Consider the following 20,007-nt stretch of genomic DNA (forward strand, 5'->3'; position numbering starts at 1 on the left):
AATCATTAGCAGTACATTTGGTGTGTTGTCAGAGAAAACCAGACCTGGGCAGTAGTTAAAGCAGCAAAAGCAGATTTTATTGAAAACTGTTGCAGTAGAAGGAAAGAGACATCAGTCCAAAACCAGGCTCAATTCTGAATACAGCATGGACAAGTGAGTACTCACAGCCAAGGAGTAGGATGGGAGTCAGTGGATAGAAAACTGCTAAGAAGAAACATCAGAGGTAGGGGGGCTTGTGGCTTATCTGACTGCTATGGTTTAGACGTGGTTTGTCCCCACCAAAGCTCATATTGGGGTGCCGTTGCCATTGTAGTGGTGTTGGGAGGTGGAACCTAATGGGAGCTGTCTGAGTCCCAGGGACAGATCCCTCATGAGTAAGTAAATACCATCTGGCCTGAGTGAGTTCTTGCTCTTATGGGACTGGATTAGTTACCTTGAGAGTAGGTTGTTATAAAGAAAGGCTCCTCCTCACGTTTGCCCTCCCTCCTTCTATGCATACCCCCTCCACTTTGTGCTTTCCACCATAAGTTGAAGCAGCGCGAGACCCTCGCCAGCTGGGCTACCCAGTCTTGGACTTTTCAACCTCCAGAATTGTGAGCCAAATAAACTTCTTTTCTTTATAAATTACCCAGTTTCAAGTATTCTGTTACACCAGTGCTAAATGGAATGAGGCACTGAACTAACAGGATTCTTGATGAAGACAAGCCAGGGTAGATCAGTCATCACCTGGGAGATGGTGGAGGGTGAGGAAACCAATTATGTATCAAGAGCAGTCAGATATGGAGGATGGAGGATTCTTGCTAAACTGATTTAGCAGGGATGTTGCTAAATTTGGATTTTACAAGGAAGTATGCAGGTGGACCTAGGAGTTTAGGAGTCTGACTGAAGTTTGGTCAAGCAAAGAATCTTTGTCAGTGTTAAGTCAGTTTTCTTCTGAAAATTTTATCATGCTGGGTCTTCAGGGATCCGGCCCCTGTGCCAGCACATTTATATTGTGAGAGGCTGGCTCGGCACCATAGAAATGAAAGGCAAGCCTTTGTTTTCTGTAGCTACCAAGTTGTAGTTTCTTCACTTGAGGAGAAACTTGAATGTTGAGGGATGGATTCATAGTGAGTAGCAAACATTTCCACCTACATTCCAGCTACTCTGATCTTGTCCTGAACTCCTTTGATTGTGTAGAGGTGTGTGGGGTGCTGGGAGTTTTAGGTCAGATCACAGATAGGAGAGATGGAAGCTGTGTATGGGTGTGGGTGGGTATGCTCAGGAATGTGAGTATGTGAAGCTCTGAATCGGTGCAGACCTCAGAGGTTTGGGTCCTGAAGCCAGGGGTTAAGGATGGTTCCAAAGCCTCCCCCGTCTTGAATCTAAACCAGATCAGAATGAAAGAATTATAAAAAGTCACTGGTTATATGGCATGGGCAGATATCACACTAATTAAGAAATGCTGGCTATTTGGGGTCAACATTTCAACTTCTGGATACTGAAGGGAACCAGTTAGGTCAGGAAGTACAAGAGAAATGCACCCTCAGCCTATGATATGAGCTGGATGTGGACCCAGTTGTGCCTCCATCTGTTGGCATAAACATAAACATCTGTTGGGTAGCTCTTTAGACCAGTCTTCTTGGGCCACTGAAGGACCAAGCCCCACTGTCAGCTTCAGTGGACTTTGCCCTGAACATTTCATGTTTTTTGTTTTTTTGTGGGTTTTTTTTTTGTTTTTTTTGAAATGGAGTCTTGCTCTGTTGCCCAGGCTGGAGTGCAGTGGCGTGATCTCGGCTCACTGCAACCTCCGCCTCCTGGGTTCAAACGATTCTCCTCCCTCAGCCTCCCGAGTAGCTGGGACTACAGATGCATGCCACCATTTCATGTTTTTAATTACAACACTTTCTTTCTAACCATATTTAATATGAGATTTCATAGAAAAGACCTGAGTCCTAAGGTTTGTTTTAAGCCCCACATGTGGAGCTGCTTTTTTGTTTGTTTAGTTTCTATCATCATTACTGTTATTATTATACAGAGAAAACTTTACTGGATAGGAGGTAAAGTTTTAAAGAGCTACTTAATGTTCTAAGTTTAGACTTCACATAACCAAAAACAAAATGGATCTGCCTACATGTTTTTTCATAAAGCCAGGCTGTTTTTGTGAGGACCGTTGTCTGGATACAAGCTAAATTCTCCATGTTCACAGTGAGACCCTGCACTGTACCTAAACCAGTCACAATTTTTTGTTATGTTTGAAGCTGCTGGTAGATTTTCTCTCTTACACAAACATACATGTTTTCACTGTGCCCATACAATAGTCCTGTGGGGTAGGGATTATCATTCCTGTATTATTGTTGCTACGGAGGTAGGTGAGGTCACACGGGCTAACAAGTGGCAGGGCTGGGACTTGAACCTAAATGTAATTCCAAAGCCTGTGTTCTTTCCATGTAACTTATATTTAAAGTCAATTTCTGAATAAAAAATTTCACTCTAGGCTCTTAAATGGCAACCTGTGTAATTTGCAGATATCCTGGATCTTGGCTGCATTGGTCATAATTTAAAGTTTAAACTCAGTAGTTTTAATTACAGAGCTAAGACAGTGACATTCATGGTACAAATCTGATCCCGTCACTCCCCTTTTCCATAACATCAAATCCAAACTCATCTCCATGGCTTGCAAGGCCCTTGCTGTCATTACTCCTATCTCATACTCCTTGCTACTCCTTTGATTTCTTAAATGTTTTGTGCTTTCTCTCACACCAGGCCTTTTACACATTGCTGTTTCACCTGCTCCTCCCACCACAAAAAAATTAATGAAACTTTCAGCCCAGCTTCTTTCAAGAAGGCATTTCTGGGCTGGGCACGGTGGTTCACGCCTATAATCCCCGCACTTTGGAAGGCCAAGGCAGATGGATCACAAGGTCAGGAGTTCAAGACCAGCCTGGCCAATATGGTGAAACCCCGTCTCTACTAAAAATACAAAAATTAGCCGGGCTTGGTGGCAGGCGCCTGTAGTCCCAGCTACTCAGGAGGGTGAGGCAGGAGAATCACTTGAACCCGGGAGGCAGAGGTTGCAGTGTGCCGAGATCGCACCACTGTACTCTAGCCTGGGTGACAGAGCAAGACTCCGTCTCAAAAAAAAAAGCTATTTCTATACCCCTCGCTACTCATAGTCCCCAGTCTGGGCTATGTGCTCTTCTTTGGGCACCAAGAGTGCTCTGCACTTTCCCATCCTAACAAGACTCATTGTATACCAGAAGTACATATTCAAATGTCTCTCCTGCTAGATGTGGGCTTCATGAGGTCTGACCCCTGCCTATGTTGTTGGTCAATGCTTCTGTACCACCTAGCATCAGAGCTTACATTTTGAGAGACAATCCTTTCCATTTCAAATCACATAAACCCAATTATATTGGCTTAGGAGCAAAAGAGAATTTGTTTACTTACATAACTGAAAATTCCAGAAGGGTCTGGTTTTAATAAAACCAAGTCCTCAGACAGTGTCGTCAGAAATCTGTCCTTCTTTGTAACCCAGCTCCTTTTTTCTCAGTTTTGGCTTCATGCTCAGGTAGGTATTTCTTACGAGGTGCAAAGATGACTACCAATTGCTCCAGGCTTACATCCTGCCATGTTAAGAAACCCAGCAAAAGGCAAATATCCCTTCCAATAGGGCTTGCATGAATCCTTGCAGAGTCTTTGGTCCAGGGTGGGTCACGTGCCCATCCCTAAGCCAGTCATGTGGCTCAGATTGGCCAGCCCTTGATAAAGGACAGAACATTGGTAGGGTGAGAGTGGTTCCCCAGAGGAAAATAGAGGAACTTTTACCAGAAAGAAGGGTAATGGATTCTGGCAGGCAAAAAATGTCAGATGTCCACTACACTCCCCATCTGTAACTGGTGCTTTGAAGATACGGGTTCTTGCTGCTGGGCCAGCACTCTGCCTAGAAGACCAGGGAAGCATTTGGAAGGCTTCCTGTCTTGTCTTTAGAGAGGAAGGCAGTTGTCTATATGTGTACTTTAAGCTGCCCCATTCATAGACCCTCTGTAAGCCTATTGCTGGCAGATAGGAGGTCCCCAGCCCATGGGAGGGGCAAGGGAGAAATGTGTATGAGTGGGAAACAGGGTCTTAATTTGCTGGGCTGCAGTGACACCAGGGCCAGGGGCCTAGGCAGAAGCATTAGCTCTAAGGGCATATCCAGGAAAACAGAGCCACATGCTACCCTGTTCCTCCAGTGGATACACAGGGACCATGCCCCACATCTCCAGCTCTTCACAACCCTCTCCAGGGTTTCTACTCCACCCGAGTTTGTGCACAGAAATGGAGAAAGTTAAGTCTTTAACTTCTCTACCTCATCTACCTCTATCAAGGATTTCCCTTTACTCTCCCTGTGGGGTATCTGTGCCCATGGCATCTTTGTGTGCTGGGACCGGCTATGGGCATGCTTTCTTTCTATCTTTTTTTCTTTTTTTTTTTTTTGAGACAGAGTCTCACCCTGTCACCCAGGCTGGAGTGTGGTGGCGTTATGTCAGCTCACTGCAACTTGTGCCTCGGCCTCCTGAGTAGCTGGGATTACAGGGGCCCGCCACCACACTCCGCTAATTTTTGTATTCTTAGTAGAAACAGGGTTTCGCCATGTTGTCCAGGCTGGTCTCAAACTTCTGGCCTCAGGTGATCTGCCCGCCTTGGCCTCCCCAAGTGCTGGGATACAGGAATGAGCCACCGCATTTGGGCCGGGCATGTTTTCATTGACAGGGATAAGGAGGAGAAAGAGGGTGGTCCTTCAAAGCAGGCCTGCCCCGGGCTGAGCCTTGGGAAAATGGCAGCATGTTGTAGCCTATTGGGGGACCCGGCAGGGGAGACTGCTGGGTCAGCTAGCCACCTCTGTGGTCCTCCTTGCATGGTCCTCCTCAATGCTCCTTTCTGATGTACAGCTTGAGATAAGAAGTCCCTGGAACCAGATGCAGACCCAGCAGGCAGAATGCTCTGCAGAAGAGAGCTAAGCTTCAGCCCCAGAGGGAATTAAGTAAGGGGATTGGGGAGGGAGAGTGTATGCTTCCTGACCTCCACTTGAAAGCATTGTTCTTTTCCTAAGGGAAAACAGCCCCCAGCAGAGCTCACTGGGACATGCAACCCCTCCCTTTTCCTTCCCCATGTCTATATCTAATTTTTAGAGCAATTGATTAAAATCACTTCCTGAGATTTTTCTAGTTTTGCTTTCTGAATTACAGTTTATGTAACCAAGATCTGTTATAGTGAGTTGTTTCTCCTAGTTGTCAGATAGCAGAGAAAAAAATGTACGCCCGCAGAATCCAGCCTTTGATCCAGCGTTCCTGGAGAACCCTCACTCATTTATGAAGCGAAAGCTTTTATGAGACTATAATAATAAAAGCTAAAATGTATATAGCCTGGGTGTGGTGCCTCACAACTGTAAGCCCAGCACTTCGGGAGGCCGAGGCAAGCAGATCACTTGAGCTCAGGAGTTTGAGACCTGCCTGAGTAGCATGACAAGACCCTGTCTCTACTAAAAATAGAAAAATTGGCTGGGCGTGGTGGCACATGCCTATAGTCCCAGCTACTTGGGAGACTGAGGTGGGAGGATGTCTTGAGCCCCGGGGGTAGAGGTTGCAGTGAGCCAAGACTGTACCACTGTACTCCAGCCTGGGTGACAGAGTGAGACCCTGTCTTTAAAAAACAAACAAAAATTATGGAGTGCTTGCTCTATGCTAGGCACTGTTATAAGAACTCATTTAATTCTCACAACAAACCCTAAGATGGGTATTTATTATCCCCATTTTACAGATAAAGAAACTGAGGCACAAAGAAGTCACACAACTTGCCCAGGTCCTGTACTGTTGCTGGTTGAGCCAGATTTCGCACCTAGGCAAGTTGGCATTGGAGCCCACATTCCTAACCACCACACATTTTTCTAACTTGATGGGCTTTACCTGTCATGTCAAGAATTAATTGTGGGATGCAAAATCAACAGCAGAGAGACAAGTCAAAAAGCAACTGTAGTGGACCTGAGCCAGGATAGGGCAGGGACAAGGAGTTGCTAAGGATATATTTAAGAATCGATTAGGATGTCAGAACCAACAACTTAATGAGGGAAAAGGACAGATGTCTAGCTTAGGATATTGGTACCCTGAGTGAAGAGGGGAGTGGTGAGCCCCATTTAGATATGCTGAGTCGAGGCATCCAGAGGAGATGTCCAGCAGACAGGTGGATGAACTGGCCTGGCCCAAAGACACAGCTCAGTCAGACACACGTTCATTTGGGAGTTTAGTGGCCAAAGAACAAATGATCTCCATGGGGCGGTTGGCGAAGGCTTCCTGGGTGAGGTTGGCTTTGAGCCAGGCTCTGAAGAGCAGGATGCTCTGAGAAGTGGGGAAATGGGGGGAGGAGGAGTGGGAGAAGGGATGTCAGTGTGATGAGGAGTCTACCATGGAGGAAGCTAGGGAGTAAGGTGGGCAGGTGCTGGGTTTGGATAAGGGAGGTTATCAGGGAAAAGTGACAGAAAACTTTGGAATGACTTTTGATGACTCCTTCCTCCTAAGTCTGATTTTTAAAAATGAAAATCGTTACGGAATATTTTAGACTGACGTTCATAGTTGCTACTCCCTCCTTTGCTCTTCCAAAGTAATTTCTTAAAACCAATGTTATGGGGAGATGTATGCATTCAACTATCTTTAATATCCTAAAAGACCTTGTTCTTGGATACCTGGGCCACCAGGAGACCTCTCATGTGTCTTATCAGTGGAAACGTAAAGGGGGCAAGCGAGGAAAGGTGGTGAGAGGTAAAGTCTTGGTCAAAGCAGAGAAGCAACAAGACCCCTTTTGTGTGTACAAGGAGGATGAGCGGTGGAGCTGGATGCCAGATGAGAAAGCCAGCAGGAGCGTTCTACTGGGAAAAGGACACTTCTTTGGTACCTTCTTTTCACATGGGCCTCCTCCGGTTTTGAGTTTGGTGGGTATGTTCATTCTTGTTGATATCATAGACCAGGAGTGGCTGTGGGCCGTGACAGTAGCCACATTGCTTCTGCAAGGCTGAGAACACTGCTGTTGCCTGGTTTGTGTCATAGGCTTGGAGTGTAGAAGCGTACGAATTAGGCTGAAGGTTGAGAATTAGAAGGAGGATATGGTTTAGAAATAGCACAAAGTTGCCAAAAGACAGTTTAACAAGACTGTTTACTCCCCCCCCATTATTAGAGCAATACATAATTACCAGAAAACATTTGGAAAATGTGGAAGAAATGTAAACACTTATGGTCTGACAATTAATTACTGTTAACCTTTTGACATATTTCTTGCAAATCTTTTCTCAATTATAATCTTTTTTAGTTTGCTTTGCTTAGTTATGATCAAGTCAGATATACAATAATATATATTAACTTTTTCACCTAATGTTATGACGTCAACATTTGTCCATTAAACTGAATTTTTATTTCATGTGTCAACCAAAACTCTCTTACCAGTTTATGAGCAAATCAAGGACCTTCTGGATGATAGCTGGGGGAGAGAAGTAGCAGCTGGGGCTGGAAGGCAGTAGGGTCATTAGTCCAGAGCACCCACGTCTGGAGCCCTATTCAGGAACAAGTGAATGCTGAGGGTGGGTGAGGCCAGTGCTGATACTGAGGAAATCCTTCCATTTACCCTTCCCACTTCTCCTATTCTGAGAGTTCTAGACCAATCCAAGAGTGATTAGAAAATTAGCCACTGAGCCTCCAAGAGGTTCCTGCAGGCCCTAGAACTAACCTTATTTGAAAGGAAGAATCCTGGAACCTCCCACAGCTGTGAAAATGAAACCACTTTGGCTGCTTCACTCTTTATACAGAGAAGGAAAGACCTGGGTAAGCTCCCTTTCCCTGTCTGGAGGCACGATGGCCTCCCAGGTGTTCAGATAACTAATTTACTGACTCCGTTAGCAGTGTGTAGCTTCTGTACAGTAAGTAATCATGTGGTAGAAATTATGAATAGTGTACTGGTTCCAAGTTTATGAATTTTTTAGTATGTAAGTTCATTTGTTAATTAGTTAGTTAGTTAGTTATGGGGAAAGTTCGTGTGATCCAAGGATGAAAATAGGACCTGGGAAGGTGCTTTCTGCAGACTGCTCAGTGTCTCTGAGACATGAACAAATAGCTTGTTTACTTGCAGAGGAATGTGCTATCAGCCAGGGAAAAGATTTTTTTTTCCCCCTGACTAAATTATCTGGGTGTGGCATAAAAATTAAAACACCCAGAGTAACAATGAAATGGTTTAACGAATCATTTATATTAAATACAAGTTTATTGCAATGCTTTTCTCTCCCTATTTGGCATGTTCCACCTTCTTAATCTAACCTAAGTTGTTTCAAGATTGTATTCAGCATGGCACATGGGGAAATCACACACTTTGGAAACAGGCCCACTTGGGTTTGAATCTGGCAAAGGAACCGACACAATCCTGCTGTATTTTCTCAATAGTTGTATTTTCTCAGCAGTAAGGTGGAAGCAGTAAACCTATCTCCTTAGGAGTATGTGAGATGAGGTTTGTGAACTATCGGGACCTACAGGGTTGGCCCTTGGTAAACAGTGATTATTATCTCTTCCCACACTGCCACTTAGGTGGCCCGCATGCCTGGCGGTCCCAATGGCCTGGTCTGGCCTGACCTGCCTTTGAAATGAGACGCCTGAAATGAGATGGCTGGTACTCTATGACAGGCACCCAAGGATCCTTGAGGAAGATAAAAACAGCCAGCTTTCTCAGAGATTTATGGTTCTGAAGCTCATCTTTAGTAAGTGTGGATCTTAAATTCATACTTACTGGGCCATTTGCCCAAACCTAGGGTAGAAACCATTCATATCTGTGGAGTTGCTGGAATAACAGCTTTTCAGTCCCTTTTCAGAATTTCCATCTGAATGCACTTAGTTTTGCTGCTGGCAGAAGAGCACCCCCAAAACATTCAGCAAAGGTTTTGTGATCTCTTGGGAGGAACTAGGTGTTACACAAATCACTCGTAAGTGCACAAAAAGAGGAATTGTGCCAGAATTGCTTTTTGGGAGAAGAGATAAGCTCCAACAGTTATCATGTGGACTTAAATCATTTCCTGCTCTGGCAATTTTCCCATTAATCCTAAGCATGGTCCCTTGCCTGCGGCCTCTTCTCAGTGCACCACTGATCCGCCCAGGCATGGCATGTGGTGGGACAGTCCCGGCTGCATTCCCAGGCAAATACTCCTGCCCCTCAAAGTTGTCAGTCCTCCCCTGAGGGGTGTTTTTCATCTATACTAATTTTCACCTTTTATTCCTGACTTGTGGCAGCTTGTCGTGAGCCTTGGATAAACAGAAAGGATGTGTCACTCCCTCCAGTGCCTTAGTTCAGAGCAGGCCAGGGCACAGTATTGCCCTGGATCTCGTGAAGATGGGCTTTGCCCTGGCTGGCCCTACTTGGGCAGGAACATGTGTTCTCCATCCAACATCTCCTGCTGTTTATGTTTTTTAAGTGTAAAGGAAGCCTTCAGCCCTAAGCTCTGTGGATCCAGGCCCCCACCAACTTCTTGACAAACTCTTGGCGAGTTTAAGCAGGCGGTTCTTTTGTGCCTTTACATATCTCATTTCTTAACCCACGAAGTTAGTCATTTCCATAGTGAGCAGGGGATGTCCAAGAACCTAGATTCAAAGTGATTATTTGTTGGTATCCATAATGGAGAGATGCTTCCCAGGGAGTGTCAAGTCGATTTGTGCCTGAGAAGATGTTTGTTTTGAAGTAGTGCTTGGTGCAGGGTGGGAATACTTCATCTGCTAGGTTCAGGAATGCAGATGGGGACTGACCCTGTGGGTGGGTCAGTTAATAAGCAGGCAGCCCCTGCTGGGCTGAGGTCAAAGGGATCCTGTCCAGCCAGAGGGATTGGACTCCATCAACTAGCTGGCTCCTGGGATTCTCACATTTGATTCACAGTTCTTTAGAGTAACTTCCAGGAGCCCCTCATCTTCTCCTGCTGAGCAGGCCCTCAGGGCTGGAATCTGGGGTCTGGGGGGCAACTGCACACTCAGATTTTTGCATTATATTACAACTATCAGTACATGCTGCAGTTGGCCATAGTGTGCTCTGTTTCTGTTTCCAGCCTCCCAGTGCAACGTCAGCTTAAAGAAGCAGAGGAGCCGCAGCATCCTTAGCTCCTTCTTCTGCTGCTTCCGTGATTACAATGTGGAGGCCCCTCCACCCAGCAGCCCCAGTGTGCTTCCGCCACTGGTGGAGGAGAATGGTGGGCTTCAGAAGGTCAGTACTGGTGAGGAACTGTGCCCTCCATAAAACTGCAGCAGTGGCATCTCTGTCCCATCCTTGATGAATATCCTTAAGAAGAATATGCAGAGCCAGGCGTGGTGGCTCACGTCTGTAATATCAGCACTGAGGTCAGGAGTTTGAGACCAGCCTGGCCAATATAGTGAAACCCCATCTCTACTAAAAATACAAAAAATTAGCTGGGCGTGGTGGCAGGCGCCTGTAATCCCAGCTACTAGGGAGGCTGAGGCAGGAGAATCGCTTGAACCTGGGAGGCGGAGGTTGCAGTGAGCCAAGATCCCGCCATTGCACTCTAGCCTGGGCAATAAGAGCGAAACTATGTCTCAAAAACAAAAAACAAAAAGAAAAGAATATGTGATAGTATGTGTACAGCCATTTACTTAAAGATTTGAAATTACCAAGAAAAGTAACCTTTTTTGATAAAGGATATCTCATTTAGCAACTAAGGATTATATTTGATGGGAGTTACATTAGTCACTTCACATTTTTATAACATTCTCTCTTGGGAAGTTGAATGCATGAAACAGTTAAACAACCAGTAGCAGACTCACAAATAGATAAAAAGAGAAACAGACATAGAGAAGAGCTAGCAATAAAATAATTGAGTGTAACTACCTTGTTTAATAACAAACATGTTATATATTCTTTTGTATGTATCAAATAAAATATGTCAGATTGTCACAATAGGTCAAAAACCAAAATCTACCCACATGCTAACACAGATCTGAAACAAAGTTACTCAGAACAGTTAGAAGTATAAGGATGAGGCCAGGCATGGTGGCTCACGCCTGTAATCCCAGCACTTTGGGAGGCCAAGGCGGGCAGATCACCTGAGGTCAGGAGTTAGAGACCAGCCTGGCCAACATGGCGAAACCCCTTCTGTAGCAAAAATACAAAAATTAGCCAGGCATGGTGGTGGGCACCTGTAATCCCAGCTACTCGGGAGGCTGAGGCTGGAGAATCGCTTGAACCTGGGAGACGGAGGTTGCAGTGAGCCAAGATCACGCCACTGCACTCCAGCCTGAGTGACAAGACTGAAACTCCATCTCAAAAAAAAAAATATATGTATATATGTATAAGGAATAAGGATGAGCGAAGAGACCTCATACAAATATAAATTAAAAGAAAACAAGGGTTACAATATTAATCTCAGTCAAAATGGAATTTCAGGAAAAATCACTGAAAGAAGATTATTCATTATGAAGATAGTTGACATTTGAGGACACAAAAGTCATAAAACTTTATGTTCCAAATAACATGAGCAAAGGACACAAACAGGTAATTCACAAAATAAGAAATATGGTTCAGTCTTGTTGATATCATAGACCAGGAGTGGCTGTGGGCGGTGGCAGTAGCCACATTGCTTCTGCAAGGCTGAGAACACTACTGTTGCCTGGTTTGTCTCACAGGCTTGGAGTGTAGAAGCATAGGAATTAGGCTGAAGGTTTTCATATGGTCAAACATACGAAAAAATAAGAAAAATGTTGCACATATAAATACATGAAAAATATTTAACATGTTTAATAATGGAAGAAATGCAAACTAAATAATGAGAGACCATTTTCCAGCTTTCTTTTTTTTTTTTTTTTTTTTTTTGAGACGGAGTCTCGCTCTGTCGCCCAGGCCGGACTGCGGACTGCAGTGGCGCAATCTCGGCTCACTGCAAGCTCCGCTTCCCGGGTTCACGCCATTCTCCTGCCTCAGCCTCCCGAGTAGCTGGGACTACAGGCGCCCGCCACCGCGCCCGGCTAATTTTTTGTATTTTTAGTAGAGACGGGGTTTCACCTTGTTAGCCAGGATGGTCTCGATCTCCTGACCTCATGATCCACCCGCCTCAGCCTCCCAAAGTGCTGGGATTACAGGCGTGAGCCACCGCGCCCGGCCATTTTCCAGCTTTCTACTTATCAAAGATATTTTTAAACACAATATTTGGTTTTAGCATGGAGTGGTAGGAGGGAGGATAGAGAATGTAAATAAGTTGCTGGTAACAATGTTAATTGATGACACCTTTCTGGAGGAAAATTTGGCAATATCATCTTAAAGCCTTAAAAATATCCCTATTTGTTGATGCAGGCAGTTCCCCTTTATGGACATAATTATGAATGTGCAAAGATTTAACCATGAGGTACCATCCAGCATAGATTATAATACCGAAAAATTATAAGCAACCCGATGTTCAACAACAGGCAGTTGGTTAAAAAAACTATAGAATAAATATGCAATCAAATAGCATACAGCCCTTCAAAATGATATGTCGTAAATATTGCTGATATAAAGAAATGGATAGAGTGTCTCTCTTGTTCTCTCACACACATACACATACAAGCATTTATAAGACTAGAAGGATGGATGCCGAAATATGAAGAGGTTATCTCCTATTGCTCACACTGGTGGAATTATAGCTAGGATTTTCTCCTTCCCTCTGTACTTCCCTCAGTTTTCATAAAATCAGCTTAAATTACTTTTATGATTTAAAAAATTATTTTAAAACCACATGTGGATGTATAGAAGGGAATTCTGGGAAGATGACAGCCTGAGCAGATGGCTCTATTAAAATTCCCTCCCAGGATAAACCCAGGTGGGCCTGCTGGTGGAGCCTGGAAAGTGCATTAAGGCCCCCAGTTTTCCTGACACCTTCAGGGTAGAGAGCAGGCACAGGATTTATTCTCTCTGGTACTCAGTAAGAAGCAGGGAACCGCCAACAGAGGAAAATGCTTACGTGTCCCTGAGTCCTTGGACAAACACTCGAATGTATAGTCCCATGAGGTCAACTAGCCAGAAGGAGCTGGCGGATCGCCTTGGAAAGAGCTCGCACTGCCCACACAATGTGTGTGGTCCTTGGAGGGGCTGCCCTGGTGAGCTGGATTGCTTCCAGTGCTTGTGCCTTGGAGGAGCCAGTAGTATAGGGGCTTTCTTAGTCTCTGAGGTTTGTTAACTTGGGCTCTGCTGGGCCATGAAAACAGCACTCCTTGCTGGGCCTTGCAGTACTCCCTCATTTGCCACTTCCCAGAGAGCCTCATAGACTGACCTGCACAGACACTAAGGGAACACACAACCTGGTGCAAGCAAAGAAAAATGCAGCCTCCACTGAGAAAGTCCAAGTTGGAAAAACTGTAATGAGACTCCCACTGAGGTAAAACTAATGGAAGAGATGGAAGAGAACTGTAACGGACAACTCAGGAAATGAAGTATAAGTACAAAAGTAACATTTGGAACTTAAAAACTCATGATTTCTAAATATAAAAATTCAGTAAACAGGAGAATGGTCACTGCTGGGAACTGAATTCATGTTCTGGAAAAGCAAGTGGAAGAAGAAATATCTTACAATTCAGACCAGAAACACAGAGATGGTAATTGTGAGAGAGAACAGCAGGCATCTAGGAGATGGAACATGCAAATGTTAAGAGTTCTAGAAAGAGAAAAAGTAGTAGAAGAAAATTTTCTTGAGCTGAAAACAAAGCTTGAATCTGTGGATTGAAGGAGCTTACCAAGTCGACAGCAGGATTAGTAGAGGAGCACATGCCTAGATGTATCTGTTGAAATTCTGAAGTTTAAGGACAAAGAGAAAGTCTTACAAGCTACTAGAATAAGTTATTTTCAAGGAAAACAATTATATTAGTATCAGACTTCTCATCAGCAACACTAAAAGCCAGAAGACTATGAAAAAATGTTTATAGGCTACTGAGAGAAAAAAATGGAAAGCAAAAATTCTGTATGTGACCAAGATATCATTTATCTATTGAGATAAAAGTTTCTTAGATATGTAATGATTCAGAGAGGGAACAAAAAATAAAAATCTGGGTGAGATTGATATTCAGTTATGATACAATTATTAAAAATGTTAGAAATGGGCTGGGTGCAATGGCTCATTCCCGTAATCCCAGCACTTTGGGAGGCCGAGGTGGGCAGATCACGAGGTCAGGAGATCGAGACCATCCTGGCTAACACAGTGAAACTCCGTCTCTACTAAAAAATACAAAAAATTAGCTGGGCATGGTGGCGGGCACCTGTAGTCCCAGCTACTTGGGAGGCTGAGGCAGGAGAATGGTGTGAACCCAGGAGGTGGAGCTTGCATTGAGCCGAGATCGCCACACTGCACTCCAGCCTGGGCGAAAGAGCAAGACTCAGTCTCAAAAAAAAAGAAAAATGTTAGAAATAGGCTGGGTGCAGTGACTCATTCCTGTAATCCCAGCACTTTGGGAGGCTAAGGCAGGAGGATCACTTCAGCCCAGAAGTTTGAGACCAGCCTGGGCAACATAGGGAAACCCCCATCTCTACAAAAAATAAAAATAAAAAATCAGCTAGGTGTGGAGGTGTGCATTTATAGTCCAGCTACTCTGGAGACTGAAGTGGGAGGATTGCTTGAACCCAGGAGGTCGAGGCTGCAGTGGGCCATGATCGCACCACTCCCCTCCAGCCTGGGTGACAGAGCAAGATCCTGTCTCAAAAAGCAATGTAGAAATAAATATTATTATTAGGAATAGAACTAATAATAGAACTGTAACAAGTGGCACAATTAGAAAATAGATCTTTAAAATTCACAGAGGGAGTAAAGGAGAAGTAAACAAATTGAACAAGCCATCAAAATTAAGGAAAGGGAAAAAGAACAAATAACAGATAATAAATAGCAAACATAACATAAATAATAGTCATAAAACCTAGTTTGATGAACTAGATTCTTCCAACAAAGACCAAGACTACATCAGATTGGTTTGACAAATTCAGCTGTATGATATTTCCAAGAATATACCTGTCATCAAATAGGAATGATTTTGTCAGTAAGTAAAAGAAAACTGCTGGGCACGGTGGCTAATGTCTATAATCCCTGCACTTTGACAGGCTGAGGCAGGAGGATCACTTGAGGCCTGGAGGTTGAGGCTGCAGTGAGCCTTAATCACTCCACTGCCCTCCAGCCTGGGTGCTAGAGCAAGATCCTGTCTTGAAAGAAAGAAAAAAAGAAACAGAAAGAAGGAATGAAAGGAGAGAGAGAGAGAAAGTGAGAAAGAAAGAAAAGAAAAGGAAGAAAGCTGACAAATAATAGCTTAGACAAATAGGGGATTATTTTTCTCACATAAAAAGCCTGAGTCAGGTAGTTGGTGGGATTTGGATTTCTGATGATGCCATCAAGAATCTGTTCTTCTGTCTTTCTGCTCCCCTATCCTTGGTATGTTTGCCTTCATCCTCATGCTTGCTATTTATGATCTCAAAGTCGCAAGCTTCAGATATTGTTTCCACATTTAAAGGAAGAAGATAGGAAGGGGTGGCACTGGCCATGTCAGTCCCTTTTATGGAAAGTAAATGCTTTCACAGAAAAACCCAGGAGACTTCTGCTTATGTCTTATTGGCCTGACACAGTGCCTGGCAGATTTCTTTTACTTACTGCCAAAATCATTTCTATCTGATGACAGGTATATTCTTGGAAATAGCATACAGTTGACTTAGTCAAACCAATTGGGTATAGCCATTTGTCACATGGCTATCCAATAGCAACAGGGGAGGAATTTAGCCCAGCATATTCCTGCTCTCAACAAAATCAGGACAAGGGAGGAATGACTCATAAGTAGATACACTAGTCAGTATGGGTTTGTTTATGCTTCAGTAACAACCTCAAAACCTCAGAGGTTTAAACAATAAAAGTCTATTTTTCACTCATGCTACTTCTTTATAATGGGTTGGCTGAGGCTGAGCCTTTTGTTCTGTGGCACTATCCAACAGAAATATAATGCGAGTCACATGTATCATTTAATTTTTTCCAGTAGCCACATTAATGAAAATATTTTTAAAACAAGTGAAATTAATTTTAATAACATTTTATTTAATCACTATATCCAAAATATTATCTCAATATGTAATCAATAGAAAAAATATTAGTGAGACAATTTATATTCTTTTTATCTTACTAATCCTTCAAAATCTGATGTGTATTTTATACTTACAGCACATCTTAATTTGGACCAGCCACATTTTGTGTGCTTAGTAGCCACATGTGACTAGTAGCTACCATACTGGACAGTATAACCATCTTATCCTCATTCACGTGCCTACGCCCCATCTCTTTGCTTCCATGACTGTCACAGCAGAACAAAGGAAATGTGATAAATCACATTGGCTCTTAAAGTTTTCACTCAGAAAACTCAGAAAAACATGCCTTATTTCAACTTACATTTTATTGGCTAAAGTAAGTCACATGACTGCATCTAAGTTCAAGGGAAATGGAAATGTAATCCACATATTCAGAAAGAAAACTGGAATTATTTGGTGGACAGTGCTAATGACAATTACAGTAGGTGACAGTTTCTGACATAACATATACAGATAAAGGAAGGTAGAAAATAAAGAAATGGGCAAAATATACAAGGCAGATCAAGCAGAAAGCAAGAGTGGCAATGTTAATATCAGATAAAGCAGAATTCAAATTCAGAAGCATTAAACAGGATAATTAGGGGCACTTTATGACAAATGGTCTAATACATGAACTGTATAGTAGCCCATAAATCTTTATATATAAAATCAACAATGCTGCCAAAGAAGAAAACTATACACGATAAAAAGCTATCTTCTAAAAATAAACAGCAACCAACACAGGAAAATCAATGGTAGGTTCTGGCTAATGGAATAAGCCAAGAAAATGAGACAATTGGTATAAACATGGAAAAGATACAAAGTTAGTCTTATTTGCAGATGACATGACTGTTTACATAGAAAACCCAAAAGACTCCACCAAAGTTGATTCAAATCATAACAGATTTTGATTTCTCATGTTTATGAGAAATGTGTGTGCTGTTTCTGGATAGAAAGGCTTAAGTTCTTCTGGGACAAAAAATGTCAAAGAACCGAGACATTTTTAGAAAGAAAATAAGGAAGACAGCTTGGTATCTTTGTAGATGAAATGATATGAGGAAATGGCATGGCAGCCCTGGAAGCTTTCCTGGAGTACTCAGCCGTATCTATCAGGAAATAGAGGCCTTTAGAGGCAGTTCCTCCAGCAGAGCTGAGCTCACTTGGAGTTACTGTTCATTCATGAACTTCCTTCTATTAACATTTGTCAAGATGGCTTTTTAAAGAATTATGTTAACTTTGAGTTAATTTAATAATCCAAAGTGGGGTGATACGTCATTTCCATAACACTTGACTAGTCAATCTGGGAGACCAGACGCCAAAGAAAGAGCCCTGTCAGAGTAGGGCAGCGAATTCCCAGAGGAGGACCCTCTACCTCTTGCACCCTGCTTGCTCAGGACATTTGGAACACAAAGCCCAGGCCTATTAGATGTGGAAGCAGATTCCAGGCCCATTTCTACTGCTGAGTCCTTAAGTATCTATGCCTCTCAGAATTCAGCATGCCAGAGGAAGAAGGAAGGCCATGGACAGAATGGGACAGATGACCTCTAGGGTTCCATCCACCCTGCATATTTACTTTTGACCTGGAGAAATGAGGATTTGGAGCCTTTGAGTTTCCAGCTGCTTCTGCAGCAGCGGCTTGGGTTAGCAGCCATTGCCACCATCACAGCCACAACCTGGACCTACAGACCAGAAGCCTCCAGGGGCTGGGAGGAGTCAGCACCCCAATGGCAAAGACCATGGAGGACCTTTAAGGGCAAGGACAGCGTAAAACAGATTGCTGGACACTCACAAATATATGCATACCTCATGCTGTATACACACACATACATACATGTAAGCTTCTAGGGTAATTTTCAAGCCCAAATATCCTTCTAGATCAGCACCTTTGCTTGCTCATAGTGGGCATTTTTTCAGGCCCTTCAGCTGCATTGTTGTGATCTTGCGCGTCGTTGACATGCTCATCTCATCGAAAGTGTGTTCTGAAGGTGCACCTGTGTGCAGGGGCTGTCTGCACTCTCCTACTAGAGCAGAGCTGAAGACTGATTGTCACTAGACGGGGAGAGAGTGTCTGCTGGCATCTGGTGAGTAGAGGCCAGGGATGCTGTTAAACATCCTGCAACAAATAGGACATCCCTCACGACAGAGTTATCCAGCCCAGAATGTCACTAGTGCTGAGGTTGAGAAACCCTACTCTGAAGTGACCCAGCCAGGTATGGCAGCACACACCTATAGTCCCAGCTACTCAGGAGGCTGAGGCAGGAGGATGGCTTGAGCCAGGAGTTTGAGGCCGCAGTGAGCCGTGATCACACCACTGCATTCCAACCTGGGTGACAGAGCAAGACCCCATCTGTAAAGTAAAATAAAATAAAAATAAGGAGACCCAAATAGGCTGTGAGCTTCTGCTTAAAATCTCCTCCACCAAATACTATGCAGCCGTAAAAAAGAAGAAGTCATGTCATTTGCAGCAACATGGTTGGAGCTGGAGGCCATTAATCTAAGCAAACTAATGCAGCAACAGAAAACCAAATACCGCACGTTCTCACTTATAAGTGAGAGCTAAACACTGAATACTCATGGACAACAAAGGGAACAACAGACACTGGGGCCTACTTGAGGGTGGAGGTTAGAAGGAGGGTGAGGATGAAAAGACTATCTCTTGGGTACAGTGCGTATTACCTGGGTGATGAAATAATCTGTGCACTAAACCCCCATGACATGCGATTTACCTATATAACAAACCTGCACATGTACCCCTGAACCTAAAATAAAAGTTTTTTTAAAAGTATGTCCTCCGCCAAGTATGTCTGTAGGGGCAGTGACCTACTCTTGAGTCCCTGTATTAGGAATAATATTATTTAAGAGCTTCTGAAATGAATTTATCTGTGCAAGTTCTTGAAAACTTTGATTTATTTGATTGCATTGTCTGTTGGAGAGCAGCATAGCTCTGCCTTGAGTGATGTCAGAAGGAAGCTTAAAATCCTTAAGACAAGCCGGAAATCTGAAAAAGGAAGGAACTGTGGAGATCATCTCAAGAGGAAATGATACTTGCTCTTATGCTGCAGAGGTGATGACTAGGGGTTGGAGATAATCAAGAAGTTGCTAAATAGTTCTTAGTGTCAAAACAGAGCTCAGAAAGGTGCCAGGCAGCTGCCATTGCGAGCCATCAGGTTTGGCCCCTTCACGTGAGACCTCATTATCACTGTAACCCTCTTAATAAAAATGGACACATCTTTTCACAAATCCTTCAGTGTACAAGGCATGAAGCAGTGCATTGCCTTATTAGGCCATCTAAAAAAGAAGAAACAGAAACTGGAAATGCTCAGTGGAAATAAACTTTTTTATTAGCATTTCTTAACAATGCTATAATGAAGTGTTTCCATCAATTAGGTTTGGAATGGCTGGCATTTGGGGCTGAGGAATATTTGAGGCCTTTCCTTGGGGCCTAGGTTTTCTTAACACTCCCTGTGAATACAGATTGTGTTTCCCTTAAAGGAAAGCTATCCCCTTGTCTGTTGCCTGGGAGGGAACTTCTTGTACCTTGCCTTGTCCCCTCTCCCCAGTCTTCCCCTGGGGAGCTCCTGGAATGACCAGGGGGTCATTGTAATCTGGTGAACATGTCTTCCATTCCCTGCGTATGATATTGACTTAGTCTTTTTAGGGAAAAACTTGCTTAAAAGAAAAAACAAACAGTTTTTAGAGGGAACCAAGGATTAAAGTATGAGTTTTTATTTTTGTTTTTTAATTAAGGATTGAATTCCTGGGAGTAAGGGAGGTGCTATTTAAATACACAAAATGGTTTGTGAGTCTCAGGAGCCCAGCCTGGCTTGTTGGGAGAGCAGGTGTCTGAGAGACAGAAGGAGCCTCATGCCTTAACTGTGGAAAATTTTCAGGTTCCTCCTGTTGATT

The 20,007-nt window shown here is 43.5% G+C and overlaps 1 protein-coding gene across 5 annotated transcripts in view; it reads left to right on the forward strand.

Annotated features, from left to right (window-relative positions):
- The window catches only part of CTDSPL (CTD small phosphatase like), a 122,590-nt gene that overhangs the window by 75,096 nt on the left and 27,487 nt on the right, over positions 1-20,007 (forward strand). For all 5 annotated transcript variants that reach the window (NM_001008392.2, NM_001438028.1, NM_005808.3 and 2 more), the window contains exon 2: positions 10,082-10,236. In NM_001008392.2, the coding sequence (NP_001008393.1) occupies positions 10,082-10,236 (155 nt within the window). The remainder of the gene's footprint in view (positions 1-10,081; positions 10,237-20,007) is intronic.

This window comes from Homo sapiens, chromosome 3 (assembly GCF_000001405.40).
Source record: "Homo sapiens chromosome 3, GRCh38.p14 Primary Assembly".
In the NCBI taxonomy this organism is placed as follows: domain Eukaryota; kingdom Metazoa; phylum Chordata; class Mammalia; order Primates; family Hominidae; genus Homo; species Homo sapiens.